Here is an 18,234-nt window from a genome sequence, read left to right on the forward strand (position 1 = left end):
ATTCCATTTTGACCTCCATTTTACAAACCCTGAAATCAAAGTCCCTGGAAATGGAATAACTTGATTCATTCAACACATACTCTTCGGCACCCTACCCTCAGCCTGGTCCAAAAGGCACATGTCTCATGAGTGGCAAGAAAACTTAGCTGCAGCCTCATTCACTGACCTTTTTTCTCTGTATATTTGTTCCAATTTCAACTGGAATTCACATGGCAGGCACTTTATTAGGAAAAAGACACAGTCCCCACCTTCAGGCAGATTCTGATGTAGAAGAAATGTTTACTCACCCCAACTCTCCCCAGTTTACAGTGGGACGTGCTATGTTAAATGCTTGAATTAAATCCTTAGGTTGTGGGAAAAGTAAGTCTCTAACAATTAGTAATAGATCCACCTGCCTTCAGATCCATGGTAGCTCGTTTACATGATGAGATTAGAAAATGATTTTTTAACTAAAATTAAAGCATGTTTTAATGTTTTTCTTTTAAATATATCAGTGTGTTAGTTACAGGTCATCCCCAACTCATGACAACCCCATAGTTCTAATCACCAACTGTAACTCATTATTCTTGCAGTTAGCAAGGAGCTGAAGAGTCAAGATGAACAAATTCCAGACTTTAATTTTCAAGCAAGAATAAATAGACCATCATGCTTCCTTTGCTAAGCTGAATATAGAGAACTTTATGGACAAAAATACCATCAATTGTATTTTCCTTTTTTTTTTTTTTTTTGATGTGAAAGGATTTTTAGTGAAGCATTGTTTTCATCTCTTCCTGAATCCAAGTGAATCTACATCTTTTGCATGTTTCCTGCATTAAATTTTTATTGTGTGCCTGAAAATCAATATTCCAGATACATGCACAAGTGCACACATTAAAATGAACATGACTTCATTTATTTCCATGATTAGACATTCAAATAAAAGTGCTTGGGTGTCTGTTTTCATATTCATAGGTCGAGATCCGTACATCAGAGGTATTTGTATAAGTGACACTTTTATTACATTCATTTCATTTGCAATATGATAGTGGATCATAAATATGTTACTTTTATGCCACCAAATCTGATTTGTAGCACTTAGCCCCTCACAAGGAGAATACTTGATATTTTATGGAGCACCTTTCATCCAAGAAGCGCTTTGCAAACATCAGGCCGGGTTCTATCAGGTGTATAAATCACATCTGTGACCCCCTGAATGCCCCACCTGCTTCATCAACCTTCTGGCTACTACTGTAGGGGTGGAGAGCAGTTAGTGATTCCCCCGCAGACCCCAACATGATAGTGAGACCTTTAAGTTCTGGAAGAAAGAGGCTCAGGTGAACTCTGTATTGCCACATATAGGCCCTGACAGTGGACAGAACACCACATTTAGTTATATGTCTACCTTATCATTTGCAAAACAGTTTTGAGGCCCCCATCTGTGGGTCGGATCTTGTATTAAGCCCTGGGGACATAGAGACAAGTAACATGTGGCCCTTGCCTTTCAGATATTCACAGACTTGGAGGGGAGGGCTTTGATGCAGGCTTGACAGTGTTTGCTCCTCTCTTTGCCTCTCCATTCCCTCCCAGAGGTGCACCGTACCTGAAAGCAGCTTGTCAAACTCCCAGGTCTGGCATAGGTATATGAGTGCATATACCAGTCAGTCGCAATCAGAGTGAAAGAAGAGGTCCACCATCAAACATCCCAGGCAGCCTTGGAGCTGAGCATCAGATGCACACCCCACGCTCCCAGAGAAGAGAGTCATCTCCCCACCCACCATCCCATAGCATCCCTCAATTTACCCTCCCAATTCCCCAGCGTTAGCTTCCTAATCTAGGACCAGTAGGATCCCCCTGCCACACCCAGTAATACACAGGCACAGCTCCCTGTAGCATCCTTCATTGTACTCACTACGCTGTGGACTGTGTGTACATGGGGTAGACTCAGACGCAGCGGAGCACAGTGGGTTTCCTAAGTTCTGATCCTGACTGTATCACTCACAGGATGCATGGCCTCAGGCAGGGTACTCACCTTCCTGTGCCTCCACTTTCTCATCTGCAAAATGGGTATAATAGTGATATCTACTCTATTAGGTTGTTGTAAGGATTGAATGGCCTACCATGAATAGAAGGCTTTATGATAGTTGTAATGAACACTTTCAGTATTGTGGTAAATAATACTCTCGTATATTAATTGCAGTACATGTAATAATAGTGATGCCAATATTCTATTATTATTATTATTACTGTCACTGTTTTATTGTATGATGAATGTCTGTCTGCTACCATAAGTTTTTGCTCCATGGTAGCAACAACCATCCTGTTTTGCGATGGCACATAGTAGATACTCAATAAATATTCATTGAATGAATGAATGAACAAAACAATGAAGGAACAAATGAATCCACCCACTCATTTGGTGCCACTGCGATGGCTTCTCCAAGCACCATTTTTCATATCAGTCTCCTCTGCCACTGACAGCCACAGGCCCCACAGTAATCCCCACAAGTCCTTGGTGTTTAGGTCATCCATTTCCCCCACGGAAGGGCCTTACATTCTTCCTGCATAACTAACCCACATAGGCCTTTACAGTAGTCTACCTCCTTCCCACCAAGCCCACCATCTGTGTGTCTCCATGCAGGTGCTACTGCCATCTCGGGGGAGGCTCTGAAAGGAGCTGTCTCCTCTGGAGTTGACCCCAGGTGGTAAGTGGTGGAGCTAGCACTAGTTCCAGATCTCCTGACTTCCCCTGCAGTACTTGTATCGCCCTTGCCTCCCACTGCTGGCCTCCAGGGGAACGAGTCCCTGCACTGCCCCAGGAGCCACTGACCACGAGGCCTCAAAGGGACCAATAGTCCCAAGAACTTGGACAAAGCTACCATCCCTAGGCCCCCGTGGCTTCTTGTGCACTGTGTCACCTCCATGATTCTGGTGGTTCTTGGCAGCCCTTCTCAAACACTGCGTCTGCGTTCTTCTAGAGTTTAAAACCATTGAGGGAAGCAGCTGCTGAAGCCACGTGTTTAGAAAATTTGTCCGTCAACTTATGAAGCTGTATGTAATTGGGGCATCATCACCAGAGGGGTTGTCCCTGCATTTTGTGGGTGTGGAAGAATTTGTGATAATCCCAGGAGTCCTTTATTCACATAGACAGTGGTGGTGGGACTTCACGTAGGGGACAAAAGGAGTGTGGAAAGTAGCCTGAGGTTACACACTGCTCCCCTTCGAGTGAGCTGCAAAGGCTGCTCCAAATTGGGCCCAAAGCACAGAAAATGGTGCTCTGGCTTCACAGTTGTGATTTTGCAAACGGCGTGTGTGATCACTGCACAACCCAACAGAGATGCCCAACTTGGTGCCCAGCTGCAGCTCACCCAGGGCCCCTTCCCACAGGACCTCACCCCTCCCTTTCTTGCTTGGTTCAGTTACTTCATGGTGACAGCTCACAGTGTCTCCTCTCTCCTGGTAACCCTCTAGAGCTGGGTTTGCTCGTCTGAGTTTTCCAGGCCCCTGGTGGTGGATGGGGACAGTGAAGCAGAATGCTTAGGAGCAGACACAGGTCCTGCAGACTTCCCTGTGGATGGGATTATGGGGACTCCTTCTGTGGGTTGTTAGTTTGTTTTGTGGTTTCTCTTTCTGCACATTGGGTTGACTATTTTCAAACATGGTATTGTTGGGCCTCAAGTTCCTTGAGTGTAGAAATGGGGTCATAAGGCCCACCTCACCTGGCTTACTGTGGGGATTTCGCGAGCTAGGATTCTTCACCTGCTGATGCCCAGTGGCCCTTGCCACACAATCACTAAAGGGTAGTGAGGCTGCTGCTGTGTTTTAATGTAGCTGTAGGTGTCATCTCAGCTTCAGAATCGACTCAAACAGTTCCTGGTATTTAGCGATGTGTCACCTCCCACAGGGCTCTGGGTTTTTTGTTGGTGTTGTTTTGTGATATAATTCACGTAGCATAACATTCATCATTTTAAACTGTACCATTCAGCGGTGCGTAGTGGATCCACTAAGTTGTGCAGCCTTCACCAGTAAGTCCAGAACATTTTCATCTCCTAAAAAACAAAACCCTGAACCCGTTAGCACTCCCGATCCTCCCTCCCCACCAACTTGCCCCCGTACCTGACAGCCACGAGTCTACTTTTTGTCTTTGGATTGGCCTGTTCTGGACATCCATATAATTTAGAATCACACAATGTGTGGCCTTTTGCGACTGGCTTCTTTAAGGCGTATGTGTGAAAGCTTCATCTGTGTTGTAGTATGCATCCATAATTCATTCCTTTCTATGACAAATAATATTCCACCATAAGGACGTCCTAGATTCCACTTCCCCGTCATCGGGTGATGAACATTTGGGTTCTTTCCACTTTTCAACTGCCGTGAGTCACACTGTCATGAACATTCATGGACAAGTTTTGCATAGACACATATTTTCAGTTCTCTTGGGTGTACACCTAGGAGAGGAATTGCTGCGTCACATGGTACCTCTGCGTATAACTTTGAGAAAAACTGCCGAGTACTCTTCCTCGGGGCTCTGTTTCAGAAGGACCCTCCCTGCTTAGATTTGACTTTTTCACTAGCTAAGGAAGGCCATTGGCAGAGGCCGAGGAAAAGAGGGGGGTCTGATCACCTGAGATCCTGCGCACTCACACACAAGCCTTCAGGCATTCCCTCCCCTCAGCAGCCCAGACTCCATCCTCACGGAGAGCCACCATGCCGCCTCTGCCACCCTGCATGACCCCTTTCCCCCTCATTGTGTCTCCTTTGCCCGCCGGCTTCTTTGCATTCTCTCTGCTTTGAACCATGATACCCACTCTCACCCAGCGTCCTGCGCCGGCTGGGAGGGATCGGGTCACAGAGGTCTCGAGGGGCCAGTCTGCACTGGGAAAGAATACAGCTGAGGCTGCACTTCCCACTCATTTCACCAGTGATCTAGAAATTTTCTGAGCCAATGAGCAGTGTCATTTCAGAGTCCTGGGGGAAGGAAACTGTCTAGAAGGGTGTTCTCTTCAGACCTGTTGGTTTCCTTAGGAATAAGTAAGTGAGTCCAAGTGAGGAAGGAACTTCTCAACCACGTGAACTTGAGCATATTTCTTAGCTTCTCCAAGACTCAGTTTCTTCATCTGTAAAATGGGTTTAAACTTGCCTACCTGATAAAAGGATCAAGTGAGATACCGTGATACCATGTTCAAGGGACTCAAAAAAATGTTCCTGGTCTCCCCAGCTGCCCTCCCTCCTGGTTAGGTAGGAGTGGCTCGTACAGACACTGACTTTGTAGTAGGACTCACCTCCCTTTTTTCCTTTCTTCCCCCTTCTCACCCCTTGCTCTTTCCTTTCACCACTTCCTCTCTCCTCCTGCTATTGTCTTACTCTGCCCTCAGCTCCTACCCCAAATATGGGTATTCTCATGGTGTGGACCCAGGGAACTGCCAGTTCTCAAATCACCCGTGTGCTCTTAGGGAGGCAACTCAGGCCAGATCCTCTTAGGGCAGATCAGATTATGCCCTGGGTCATTTTGCAGTGCAGATTCCCAGGTCACAGTGGTGGCATGCACAGCCAGGCAGCATCCAGCCTGGCACCCGCTGGGCCCCAGAGAACATGGACTCCCTGGAGGGGGTGGCATGGTCTGTTTCGCCTGTCTGCCTCCCTGGGTTTCAGTTTCTTTCCTCGCGAGATCCTAGCCAGGGGCTAGAGCTTTGAGTTACACTCGGATTTGAAGTCATCCCAGAGGTCTGTGCTGCAGGAGGAAGCACGGGCTTCCATAGCACTGTGTCCTGGGCCCTGACTTTGTGCCTGGCACCGTGCTTGGCTCGGAGCATGCAGAGGGAAAGGACACACACCTGCTGTGGGTCCAGTGTTCCAGACACAACGTGGAGTCAAGTGGCTACCAGCGAATAAGGGAATGAATGGTTTTCCAGGCTGAAGATTTCATACTGTATCAATTATTATTTTTAAGTAATTTTATATTCCAAAACAGATAATATGGTTCATACAGAAAGTTTAGAAAGCAGAAAAACACGAAGGGACAAAAACCATCATCCTTATCTCCTCTCAGATGAGTTTCTTCAAAAGTGCCTGTCACTTAATTCAGAAAACTAAAAAGCAAAGACACCAAAATGTGTAGCTAGGAAATACTAATTATGAAGTAACGGGGCTTTGTTCAGAGACCTGACCCTTCCCTTACAATGTCACTCAGGGCATCCCATTTGAGGGTAAAGCTCTTGGAAAAATCCTTCTCTCTTCAAGAGATCCAGTCCACAGAAAAAGTTCTCTCACAACAAGCCAAGACTCTGAGCCTCCTGGGTGAGCCCAAGCTCTCCAAACAACTGACGGGCACATGCATATACAGAAAGACAAACCTAGCTCTCTGCCGGGGTCCCGCGGCTGCCAAATCCCTTTTCCAGGGAGGTGTGTTATTACCACCTCTTCCCACTGTTTCTGTCCCAAATATCAAATGAGCTTAAGGCAGCCTTGGGAGGTGGAACCTCCCAGCTCAGGAGCACAGGCCCAGCCTTCAGCGACCCCTGATGTGCCTTCTCTCTCGTTTCCAGCTGTCAGGAATGACAGGAACAAGAAAAAGAAGGAGACTTCGAAGCAAGAATGCACAGAGAGCTATGAAATGACAGCTGAGTTGGACGATCTCACAGAGAAGATCCGAAAAGCTCACCAGGAAACTTTCCCTTCACTCTGCCAGCTGGGTAAATACACCACGGTAAGAGATACTCCTGCCCCAGGCTGCTGGGAGTGTGGAAACCTTGTACGTGCATGTGTGCAGACACACACACACACACACACACACACACACACACACACACTTTGCACTGGGCCTGGCAGGGGCTTGCATGCTAGCCAGCTGGGGCTATGTAGTAGCCACTTCTTTCTGTGAGGTAGCCTTTGGGCGTGGGCAATCAGTGAGTAGGCTGAGTGCCGCCTCACTGCAGTCATGCACACATGCATTCACTCTAGATGCATTAACTGAGTATTTGCTATACGACAGGCTGTGTTCTAAGCCCTGGCAACATGAACTATTCAGTGCTGCTCTCAGAGACTTTGATCTGGTGAAGGAAACAAGTAAAGCCAGTGAAGCGTTACATGGGTCATGACGGACCTCTGTACGGAGGGACCCAGGGGGACGGGGCCTGATCTTTTAAAAACCCCAATCCATCTGTGAAATCCAACCAAGATAAAGAGGCCATCCCCTGGGCCAAGGTTTGCCTTCTGTGAGAGGACATGTACAAAACCCCCAAGCCAGGGCCTAGAAAAGTTTGGGGTAGGCATGCCCCATGCCCAGTTGAGTGAATGTTCCCCCTCTGCTTCCCAGCGTTCCACTAGGAATGGCCTTTCACTGAGATTGGAAATAAAGAGAGGCAGGAAAAAGAGAAGTGAGATAAAAAGGTAGGAGGTGTATGTTGGCTGGTCTAGGTTGTGCCAGTGGAGGGGTCATGAGGTGCTTTAATTTTTCCAAGTGGTTTTTGCATGTATTATGTTCACTGATGTATATTTCTAACTTGTGGCATGTAATAGACACTCAGTAGATATTTGATGAATTAATACAACTAGAATGTTGTTCTGGCCTCTTTAAAAAGCTTAGGTTGCTCACCTACAATGCTATGGTAAACATACTTTAAAAACAAAATCCAAATATTGTAGCACTTGCTGGCTTGGTGAATGGTGTTCTAGAAAAATGATAGCATGGGAGGTCCTGAAGATCAAAAGACAAAATAGTGATACCAGAAAGAAAAAAAAAAAACAGTGAGCGGCGGGGCTTTGGAGCAGTTCTTGGTGAGCATGGGGTGTAGTGCGCTAGGATGTTGGTGGTATCTGTAACACAATAATGGTGACCAGGAGCAGGCCCAGAGGGGCGCCCATGGAATCTGGGGCCAGCACAAACCTAGGTGGCTTCTCAGATGAAAATGAGACTACACAGTTGGGTGGCACCAGCTTCTGAAGGGCTGGCACCCACCTTAAACAGACAAGTCTCCTGGCTGAGCTCAGAGACTTTGGCTCACCTGGAAGCAGAGGTAGAACCTTGAGCAGTACTTTTCAAAACTCAGCGTGCATCTGAAGCACCTGGTGAACTCGTTACAGTGCAGGTTCTGGTGCAGCAGGCATGGCCTAGGGGCATTTCTAACAAGCTGCCAGGCTGCTTATGCTGCTGGTCTGCAGACCAGACTCTGAAGAGCAAATGAGCCGGGCTTTGAGAAGCAACACCCAGGGTGGCACTCTGGGGTCCACCTCGCCCATTGGTGTCAGCCAGGAGAAACACTGGCATGTCTGCCAGGCCGAGGGAGAGTCTCGGCTTAACCTCAACCAGTCTTCACTGAGTTTGGGGAACACTGTCCCATCCCAGAGCAGGGACACAGGCCAGGACAAGACTGGACACTGTAAGGGAGCTTTCATTTTCACCTGGGAGAGAAAGTGGAATGTGACCCCATGTATCCAGAACAGAGGCCTGGAACCACACGAATGTACTTCAAGTCCTACTCAGCCACCATCAGCCCCATGACGGTGAACAAATTACCTAACGTCTCTCAGCCTCAGTTTTCCCATCTCTAAATGGGAATAATGTGAAATAGTTGGGAGGATGAAATGAGACAATTTATGAAAAGCTGCTGTGATGGAACCCAAAAATATCTACCCAGCAGTGGAGTGGCAGAAACATCATCCAGACACGTACCTTCTACTGGATACTAACTGACCCTCCAGAGACCTGGCCCCCATGCTGGGTGCATCTGACAATACAGAAAAGTAACATGATGAATAACCAATACCTGAAAGTATGCCATTTATTTCTTTTAGAAATACTTACTAATTGCCAACCATTCAGTGGCATTTCAGGCCCTGTATTGAGCTGTGTATCAAGGTGAGGGCGTCTTGACCTAAGAAATGAGGGAACTCAGGCTGGCACAGTGGGAAGGGGCGAAAAGAGAAGATGAGAGAAAACAGGTGCTGTGCAATGGTGGACTGTGTTGAGTTGAGAGCAAGTGGGAAGTGAGAATGGGAAAAGCCTGGCGGAGTCTTGAGTGCCACTTGAGGAGTCTGTAAATAATGAACAGTAATTGATGGTTGTGGTCAAAAATCTTTATTATTATCATTGTAATCATTATTACATCTCATATTTATTGAGCATTTACTATGTACTAGGGACCATGCTAAGTACTATAAGTATACTAATTCTTTTATTCCTTATGAGGACTCTGTGATTTGGGTTTCGTTGCCCTCATATTACAGATGCAAAAGCCAGGTACAGAAAGGCTCGATAACTTTCCCCTTGTCTCTTAGTCAACAAGTGGTCAGAGGTGAGACTTGAACCTAAACAGTCTGACTCCAGGGCAGCTCTTTTAACCAGTATACTATACACAGAATCCCTTGAGAGGGTTGCCAAAAAGGGAGAATGGAAGCTGGGGCCATTGGCGGCATCTAGCTAGGAGGAGAGAGCTGTGACCCAGGAATAAATCAATCTTGTAGCTCCAAGAAAGTCAGAGGAAAAGAGATGAGAGTGGGGAGGTCTTCCTGAAAGAGGAGACTTTTGATCCAGGTCATGAGGTGAGCGACTTTATATGGCAATACCTAGGGCCAGTAACTGCTACATCAGGGTCCCCCTCCGCCTCCTCCAGGTGGTATCTTAGCATAGCCAAGTCAATCCCCAGACCCTGACTCACCTAGTAATCAGGTGAAACAGCTCCCACTCTAACCTGGAGGAGGGCAGGACAAACACAACGTACAGCATTTGCCGCTCCTGGAACATGCGCCCTGGTGTGACCGGGATTCCTACAGGATGGCTCACATGTGAGGCATTGCCACTCCTGCGAGCGGTCCCTCACCACTGATGAGCAGAACGTGGAGAGATAAACCCCCCCAGCTTCCTTATTCGTTGGGCAGGATACTCTTAGGTATCCTCTAAACCACGTCCCAGAGTTTCCCAACTAGATCGAGCTCTGACTGCCCACAGTGATGATCTCCGCTGGCCGCCTTCCTTCCCTGCCCACTCTGTTCTTCCAGTGCTTCCTGGGATCTCCTCCCACATAAACTATCGTGCATTCCAATTCTAGTCTCAGCCTCGGCTTCTGGCCTAAGAGAGAGAGGCTTCCCTGCAGGCCTCCAGGGCCCTTTCCTATCCACCCCAATATGGGGGTGAGTCACCCCCAGTCCTCAACTGGGGCCCACCCTCCTAAACACATTGTGGAGACTTCTTGTACCTCCCAGTCAGGCAGAAAAACAGAAACACGATTTTATCTCTAGAGCGTGGCCCTTCACTACTGGGCATCCTTCCGGAGGCCTGCTGCCCACCGCGGGGTGGAGGGCGCTCTGAGCCAGTCTCGCAGCTGACCGTGCTCTTCATTTGTACTATCTCTCCCCAGATCTAGCTGTGTTTTTATTGTGAGCCACTTAAAATCCTTTCTGGAAGTCGGTGGTATAAATAAATAACAGCAGCCATAACACATTCTCTGCAAGCTCTTAGTTCGGAGTTGAGCATTTTTAAAAAGAGCTTTTTTTAGACAGGCAGTTGCTTCCACGGCAGGAAACTTCCTGTCATCTTCACCAGAGTGGCATCCCTGTCAGATGCCTTTGGAATTAGTGGGCAGAGAGGAATAAGAAAGGCAGCCAACTGCGCATCTACAGATCTTTGAAAGAGTAGTTCCTTTTTCTTCCCTAATTAGGGTGGATTTGGGACAAATGGTTGGGTCCCCGGAGACCGCAGGAATGGCTGGAAGAGGCAGAAACATATCCCCACCACCCCCACCTCAGGCCAGGGCAGGGCACTCACCCACAATCTTCAGAGCTAGTATCCCTGGGAAGGTTTCTACCCAATGACCCTCCGCCGCCATAAAAGGAGAGAGGGTGGATTCCCTGTGGAAAGGTGGAAAGCAGGAGAGAAGCTATTTATAGATGAGCTTTCCAAAATAGAATCAGGACTGAACCAGAGGTAACATCCTCGCTCTGAGGACGTGTTCTCCGCTTCCTTAGGGTGAACCCTAGTGAGTATCATTTGGGCTTTAGGGCCTCATAAATTCAAGCTCAACTCTTATCCCTGCTACTTAGGAGTCATGTGACTTTGGAAAGTTACATCATCATTTGCACCTCAGCTCCTTCATCTGTATAATGGGAGTTTTAAAAACATCCACCTCCTGCCTGGAGGGTTCCATGAGAAAAATATATGGAGCGCCTTGCACAGTTTCCGGCACAGAGGAGTCGTGCCGAATGTGCAGCTCTCCTCCTCTCCACCCCATCATAAATGTCTTGTCATTTTTTCGAGCCACATGCCCAGGTTCTGTAAACTAGCGTGGGTGTGACAGTGGGACAGATTTCCAGGTGGTGTAGCCCCCACCCCCAGCTCGTGCTGTCTGCTCCGGGCCGCCTCTGCTCCCGGCCTCCCACTGCTCTGCCGTGTGCGGGCCGCTCATCACCAGGTGGGGCCTGGCGGGAGGTAAGCTGTCCTCCGAGGGGCTTGTGAATATGAACTATGAAGATTTAAGAAGCCCTTAACCTGCTCAGAAAAATGACCACAAACAGAATTATTAACCACGAAAGACTTTCCAGGAGACATACCATAGAAAAGGAAGGCTGTTTTGAGCACTTGTCATGGGTGGACTCGGTGCGCTTTTTGGAAACTAACATTTGCCATCAACCAGAGGAGCAGAACCTGGAACTCGGGGAGCTCGGGCTGCCAGGAGAGATGCATCAGGAGGGATAGAAGGTCAGTGGGGGCCACGAAACCCGAGTTCCAGTCCCCACTGTCACCTCACAGCTGTCTGACTTTGAGCCAGTTGTTAACTTAGTGAGCCTCAGTTTCTTGCTAGTAAACACACCTGTGCTGCCAGTATCACCCAGCAGCGGTCCCCAACCTTCTTGGCACCAGGGACCAGTTTCATGGAAGAGAATTTTTCCATAGATGCTGGGCTTGGGGATAGTTTCAGGATGAAACTCATGAAGGACAACTTAGATCCCTCGCATGCGCACTTTGCAGTAGGGTTCATGTTCCTATGAGAATGTAATGCCGCCGCTGATCTGAAGGAGGTGGAGTTCTGGCGATAACGCTCGCTCCTGGCCACTCACCTCCTGCCGTGCGGCCCAGTTCCTAGCAGGACACCGACCAGTACCCATCCACGACCCAGGGCTTGGGGACCCCTGACCTAGACCATTCTTTCATGTTGCAACAAACAATGACTGCATACCTACTGTGTTAGTTTCCTAGGGCTGCTGGAACAAAATAATACAAACTGGGTGGCTTGAGACAACATTATTTGATCGCATTTCTGGAAGCTAGAAGTCCAAAATCAAGGTGTGTGCATGGCCACGCTGTCTCTGACAGCTCTGGGAGAGAGCCCTTTCTTGCCTCTTGTAGCTTCTGGCGTGGAAGGCAGTGCTTGTAGTTGCATGACACCAATCCTCCGTCTTCTCATGGTCATCTTCTCCCTGTGTTTCTTCACATCGTCTTCTCTCTATGCATGTCAACCTCTGTCCAGATTTCCACATTTTTTTTTATAAGGGCACCAAGTCATACTGGATTAGGGCCCACCCTAATTACCTCATTTTAACTTGATTACCCCTATAAAGACACTATTTTCAAATAGCGTCACATTCTGACATACTCGGGCTAGGATTTCAACACATCTTTTTGAGGAACACAGTTTAACCCGTAACAAACAGTAACACCTAGTGAGTGCAGAACTGGAGTGCATGGATGTTACCTTTCCATGCTTGCCGCTCTCTGCAAAGTCTAGCTGGAGATCAAATTTTGTCACAAGTGTTGTGAGTATTTAGAAACCTCTGGCAGCACACATAAGTCCTGATCTTTTGAAGAAAAATGTTCTGTAGGCACTGTGCTAAGTACCCACATTCTTCCTCAGTGATGGAATAAGGGAAAGACGTTCCCAGCAAAAGCAATAGCATGAACACGGCACAGGGTTTCACAGGGATGGGGCTGGGTGGGAGGGAGGCAGAGCTAAGTTTGAGGAGGTAGGTCAGGGCTAGCTTCCTAGGGGCTTTGGGTGCTGGGATAAGGTGTGTGAACATTAGCCCTAGGGAGCCAAGGGAAGTTTCTAGTCATGAGAAAAAGCAGTTCGAAGAAGGTGGTGCCTAGCTGCTGTGTCTGGCTGGAAGGCTTCGGCAGGGACACAGGGCAGGGCTTTTGATCTTTCTCAGATATGCCCTGCAGCTCCAGAAGGCATTCGTGGCCCCTTCCAGCAGCTGGGACCACTCCAGAATTCTAGCATTTCTTGGACATCCTCTAGGGCCTTGGACTATACCCACCACCCCACCCCTGCACTCGACCAAGGCCCCAGATCTCTGAACCCCAGGAGTGAAGGGGCTGCAGATGGATAGATGGTCCTTTCCAAGGTCATGTCCCAGCTCAGGAATCTTAGACGATGGTGGTCCAGGAGCACGCCTGAAACGTGACCTCCAGGGGAATCCTGCGGCATCACTCTTGCTTTTTAGCCAGGCTGCTAGGAAATACTCGAAAGATTCTAGAGACCCTCCCTACCTGCCCTCTCCCATTGCCCTTTGCTCGAAGCCCTCTCTAGCCACAGGCTGCACCATGCCTTTAAGATCACGCCCTCCTGTCTACCCAGAGCTACAGGGTGGCTGCCAAGCTGCCTTCTCCCCACCTGTTGGAGGCATCTGGTCCTAAGGAAAATGCTGCAGGCGTGTTGGGGGCCTTCTCCTCTCTTCTCTTCTGTTGGGGGCAGACGTTCCCGAAGCCATGCTCTCATAGTGCCTAGATAATGTGTGTATTGACCACAAAGAGATGTTGGCCGGCACATAACATTCTCTTCATAGCTGTGCTGGAGCTCTTGTAGCCACCTGATGGAAGCATCCAGAGATTCCAATAAGGAGGGAGATCACAGATGCAACCACAGGCTTTAGGAGTCAGGAAGTTCTAACCAGAAAGTAGAAATATGTGAGGAACCAGTAGGGAGGGGGTGACGTGGTGCACTGGTGGGAAGCCTAAACACCCCAACCCAACTGTGTGGGTGAATCCCACACCCTCCGGTTCGCCCGCGGGATCTTGCACAAATGATTGCACTTCTGTGGGCCTTCGCTTCCTCATCAGCCAAATGGGGACCATAATGGTGCCTACCGCATGGGGGCGCTGTGAAAAGTAAAGAGAGTCGGTGATCGTTAAGCATGTAGAACAGTGCCTGGCACGAGGCAAGCCCTAGAAAAAGGGGTGGTTACATGCAAAAACATACAAAATGCAGGAATTGAATGTGGGTGACAGGGATGGTCTGCAAATTGAACTTGAAAGGACATCAGTCTCCAGGATGGTGGAAGGATTTCAGGCCTAAGGAAGAAGGAGGCACTTCCATGGATATACCCAACATTGCCACAGAATTTTAATTCTTTATTTCTTTAATGAAAATTTACATTTCCTTCTTAACTTTGAAAAAAAAGCCAGAACGCTTGAACAAACCACTGTAATACCCAGGAGCTGCCTCCAGTGGGATTTAAAGATGCTGGTGATTCCACTTTCCTTTATGGGTCTTGTTCTGAAAGTCCTGCCAGTCCAGGAAGGCAGCCCGTTGCAGCAGAGAACCAAACCAGCAGAAGAAAGGGATCCATTTGCGTGGCAAAACTTGCCATTTAATTGGATTTCATAGTAGGGTTGGGCTTTTCTGCTGCTTAAGATGGCCCTGGGGGGCCATGGGCGCGACCCTCCATATATGGGCCACCACGCGGCATCCTGGGGAGGCGCTGCAGCTCCTGTAGCCCCTGCCGAAGAGGGGACCTCCTCTGGAAGCCCTGGCCAGACTCTCAGTCGGCAGCAGATGGAGGAGAGCCCCTTGCCCTTCTGGCTTGGCTGTTTTCCTCATCAGCCTGCCTCATACTCACAGCAAGGGTCACTCCTCACCACCCCACTTTCTGCTTCTCCTTCTCTGTTGGTTTTCCTCCCTGCACACTCAGAAATGCTGCTGAAAATCCACGCTTCGCTGGTGCTCCCCACAGCCGCCTTCATTACCAACCCAAGCAGGCCAGGGCTCTCCATTTGCCGCAGCTGGAAGATAATATATAAGCCATTTGAAGCCTCATGCCTATGAATCCAGCAGCCAGTATAATAAAACACCAGGTTATTTTGTGTTTTATTAACTGCCTCTTCCCTTCAGTTTGCATAATAGTGAGTTAGATTTACATGCCGTTAAGACGGCTGTGCATTATTTTTAATAGAAGGTACGACAGGCTCCTCTCTCTCAGCCCTGGCGCGTGATAAAGTTACCTCATGCAATGTTGATGAAGGTTTCGTTCACACTTGCTGGGTCGGGGCAATGTCTTTTTTTCCAGATGGATACTCTATTGTAAAATGATTTCCCTCCATAAGCTTGACTCTCCGTCCCTCTCTTCCGTGTCATCTTCCTACGAACCGGATAAACTGCCTATTAAATTTAATTACGGCCCAAATGGCCACACATCTTGATCTCATGTTCCCTCAAGTGTACTGTATACCACCAAGGTCCTTGAGGAAGGAATAAAATAAATCTGGAGGATGCATGTCTACTCTCCACAAGGAACGTCGTGGAAGGCAAAGTTGACCACCTTCGTTTTTACAGTGTCTGTGGCACCTCGTGCAAACTCTTCTTTCTGGCTTTCCATGCAGACGTTCAAAGCAAGAGCTAGTTTTATTCACTTCCTGTAGACTGATTTTAACTGAGGTGGGGAACTAAAGATATCAGTTTGAGAAACACAGTACCTCTCCTGAGCTGTTTACATTTGTCAGAGAACCAAACGTCAGCCTTTTGTTGGATAGTAAATTACAAATATCTCATCATTTTATCTGTAAATATCTTAATATGTATTCTAAATGAAAGAAGCTCCTGCAAACGAAAGTAAAGCATCAGTGCCATTATTACCATCCTAAAATAAAATGATCTCTAACACCTAATAGCTCATATTTCTGGTTTTCTCATATATATCACCACCTCTTTACAGTTTATTTTTTGAATTAAAATTTAGATAAGGTTTACACCATGCAATTGGTTGTCAGTTTTCTCAGTATCTTAAGTCAGGTTTATTGCAGTATATTTTACATAATGTAATTTTTATCTTTTTTAAAGGTATAGTTTGATGAGTGTGATAAAAGTATACAGTCACATAACCTGACTCCAGTCAAGATGTAGAATATTTCCATTGCTCCAGAGAGTTTCCTTGTGCACCTGTGGTCAGTCCCCACCTGCCTTCCCGCTCCTGGAAAACCACTGAACTGTTCTCAATCACTATAGTTTTGCCTTTTCCAGAACGTCATATAAATGGAATCGTTTTGAGTATGGGCGTTTTATGTCTGCCTTCTTTGGTTTAGCATGCTTCCAAGGTTTATCCATGTTGTAGCATGTATTACAGTTTCCTTCCTTATTAACGCTACCTAGCATTTTCATTGCAAAGTTGTAATCACAATTTATTTATCCACCCATCAGTTAATGAGCATTTGGGTTGAGTTGCTTTCAATCTATAGATTTCTCTCTCCACTTGTTTTTCTCTCTTGCAATGTTCTTATTGAAGAAACCAGTTCATTGGTTTTGTGGATTTTCTGGCATTCTGGATGTTGATAGCTGTACCCACTTTGTGTAGTTTACCGTGTCCCTGGATTTCCTGAGGTTATCTAGAGTCTCAGTCAGATTCAAGTTTGATTTCTGGCCAGAATATTTCATGGGTGGTGGTGTGTTTTTCCATCAGGACATCAGCATGACAGGTGGCGTGTTTTTAAGAGATTAACAAGTACTGATGGTCAATGCTTAGAGCCATTCATTCATCAGAGTTAGAAAATGGTGACTCCTCATTCCTTTCTTGTTTGTTAGCTGGATAACTGCATACAGAGATACTTCCTCTCCTCTGTTACTTGATTATCCAGTGGTACAGGCATAAGATTTTAAGTGTTTTAAAAGGATGAATCCGACCGGACACAGTGGCTCACGCCTGTAATCCCAGCACTTTGGGAGGCCGAGGCGGGTGAATCATGAGGTCAGGAGATCGAGACCATCCTGGCTAACACGGTGAAACCCTGGCTCTGCTAAAAATACAAAAGGTTAGCTGGGCATGGTGGCACACGCCTGTAATCCCAGCTACTTGGGAAGCTGAGGCAGGAGAATCGTTTGAACCCGGGAGGTGGAGGTTGCAGTGAGCTGAGATCGTGCTACTGCACTCCAGCCTGGGTGACAGAGCGAGACTCCGTCTCACACACACAAAAAAAGGATGAATCCAGGCTAAAAAAAATGTAGCTGTCCCACCAACAACCTGCCTGCTCAAGGCTGACATGTCACCCCCTCTAATTGGAAACACATTGAATTTCTCCCCTCCTATAGAGCTTCCCGGAAACTGTATCTGATGACATTTTCTCTCTCTCCTAGAATTCCAGTGCTGACCATCGAGTCCGACTGGACCTGGGCCTCTGGGACAAATTCAGTGAACTGGCCACCAAGTGCATTATTAAGATCGTGGAGTTTGCTAAACGTCTGCCTGGTTTCACTGGCTTGACCATCGCAGACCAAATTACCCTGCTGAAGGCCGCCTGCCTGGACATCCTGGTATGTGCCTTTTTGAGCTCTCAATGGGTCTGGGGAGGGAGAGAGGGCACCGTGGAGGGGAGGGAGGGGACCAAGAGACATTGAAGATCTCCAGAGGAGGTTTTGAGTTTCGACTCTAGCACTCACCTGACTTAGTAGGTGGACTCACCTAGCCTCTGGCTCCTTATCTGTGAAATGGGCTGAATTCCCATCCCTCAGGCTCACTGAGGTCTGCGAGGCTCAAATGGGCTGAGGTTGGCAAACTCTACAGGTGAATGCTGGTCTGTTTCTAAGTTTACCCCAGACCCCCTGATTTTACAAGAAACAAAATCATCACATATGCTCTCAGGACCCCTGGCACCTGTAAGTTACTGAGTAATCATTGCCACTCTTCCTCAGGTCTGTTTAGCAAACAGGACACATAAACATTCAAGCTTCCTGTGCGACCACCACACACGGGGACCTCTCTCCTCCTAAGTGGGAGTGCGTTCGTGTGCTTAATTATAGTAACTGTATTTGCTTTGCAGAATGGTTTATACCCAAAGCTATGAGAGACCTAATAAAAAAGCAATGTTTTTATAGCACTTCAAAAGCTGATTTTACTTTCCCTATGTTCTGATGCATCCCTGGAGGCCAGTCCCCCATCCCACTTTCTCCATGGGCCTCCCTGCGTACATACGTCTAATGGGAGCTGCTCCCATCCAAGGAAACAGTCCCAGCCTGAAGCCCCCACCAGGGAAAGAGAGGGTGGACTTCCAGCCTGTGGAAG

The 18,234-nt window shown here is 47.7% G+C and overlaps 1 protein-coding gene across 10 annotated transcripts in view, besides 3 other annotated features; it reads left to right on the forward strand.

Annotated features, from left to right (window-relative positions):
• RARB (retinoic acid receptor beta) overlaps window positions 1-18,234 on the forward strand; it is a 768,612-nt gene that overhangs the window by 733,916 nt on the left and 16,462 nt on the right. For 9 of the 10 annotated variants that reach the window (NR_110893.2, NM_001290216.3, NM_001290300.2 and 6 more), the window contains 2 exons: window positions 6,522-6,682; window positions 17,310-17,486. Coding sequence is in view for 8 of the 10 variants with exons in the window: in NM_001290216.3 (NP_001277145.1) it covers window positions 6,522-6,682; window positions 17,310-17,486 (338 nt within the window). In the remaining 2 variants the exon portion in view is untranslated. The remainder of the gene's footprint in view (window positions 1-6,521; window positions 6,683-17,309; window positions 17,487-18,234) is intronic. The other variant, NR_110892.2, reaches the window with a different exon arrangement.
• Window positions 5,078-5,579: an enhancer, noted in NCBI's record as "H3K4me1 hESC enhancer chr3:25609805-25610306 (GRCh37/hg19 assembly coordinates)". NCBI's record gives its function as "activates a minimal SCP1, AML or CMV promoter by ChIP-STARR-seq in primed H9 embryonic stem cells {active_cell/tissue: H9 hESC(primed)}" and the evidence as "EXISTENCE:reporter gene assay evidence [ECO:0000049][PMID:30033119]".
• Window positions 9,693-10,221: an enhancer, noted in NCBI's record as "H3K27ac-H3K4me1 hESC enhancer chr3:25614420-25614948 (GRCh37/hg19 assembly coordinates)". NCBI's record gives its function as "activates a minimal SCP1, AML or CMV promoter by ChIP-STARR-seq in naive H9 embryonic stem cells {active_cell/tissue: H9 hESC(naive)}" and the evidence as "EXISTENCE:reporter gene assay evidence [ECO:0000049][PMID:30033119]".
• Window positions 10,222-10,749: an enhancer, noted in NCBI's record as "H3K27ac-H3K4me1 hESC enhancer chr3:25614949-25615476 (GRCh37/hg19 assembly coordinates)". NCBI's record gives its function as "activates a minimal SCP1, AML or CMV promoter by ChIP-STARR-seq in naive H9 embryonic stem cells {active_cell/tissue: H9 hESC(naive)}" and the evidence as "EXISTENCE:reporter gene assay evidence [ECO:0000049][PMID:30033119]".

The sequence above is a fragment of the Homo sapiens genome, chromosome 3, assembly GCF_000001405.40.
Source record: "Homo sapiens chromosome 3, GRCh38.p14 Primary Assembly".
NCBI classification, from domain to species: domain Eukaryota; kingdom Metazoa; phylum Chordata; class Mammalia; order Primates; family Hominidae; genus Homo; species Homo sapiens.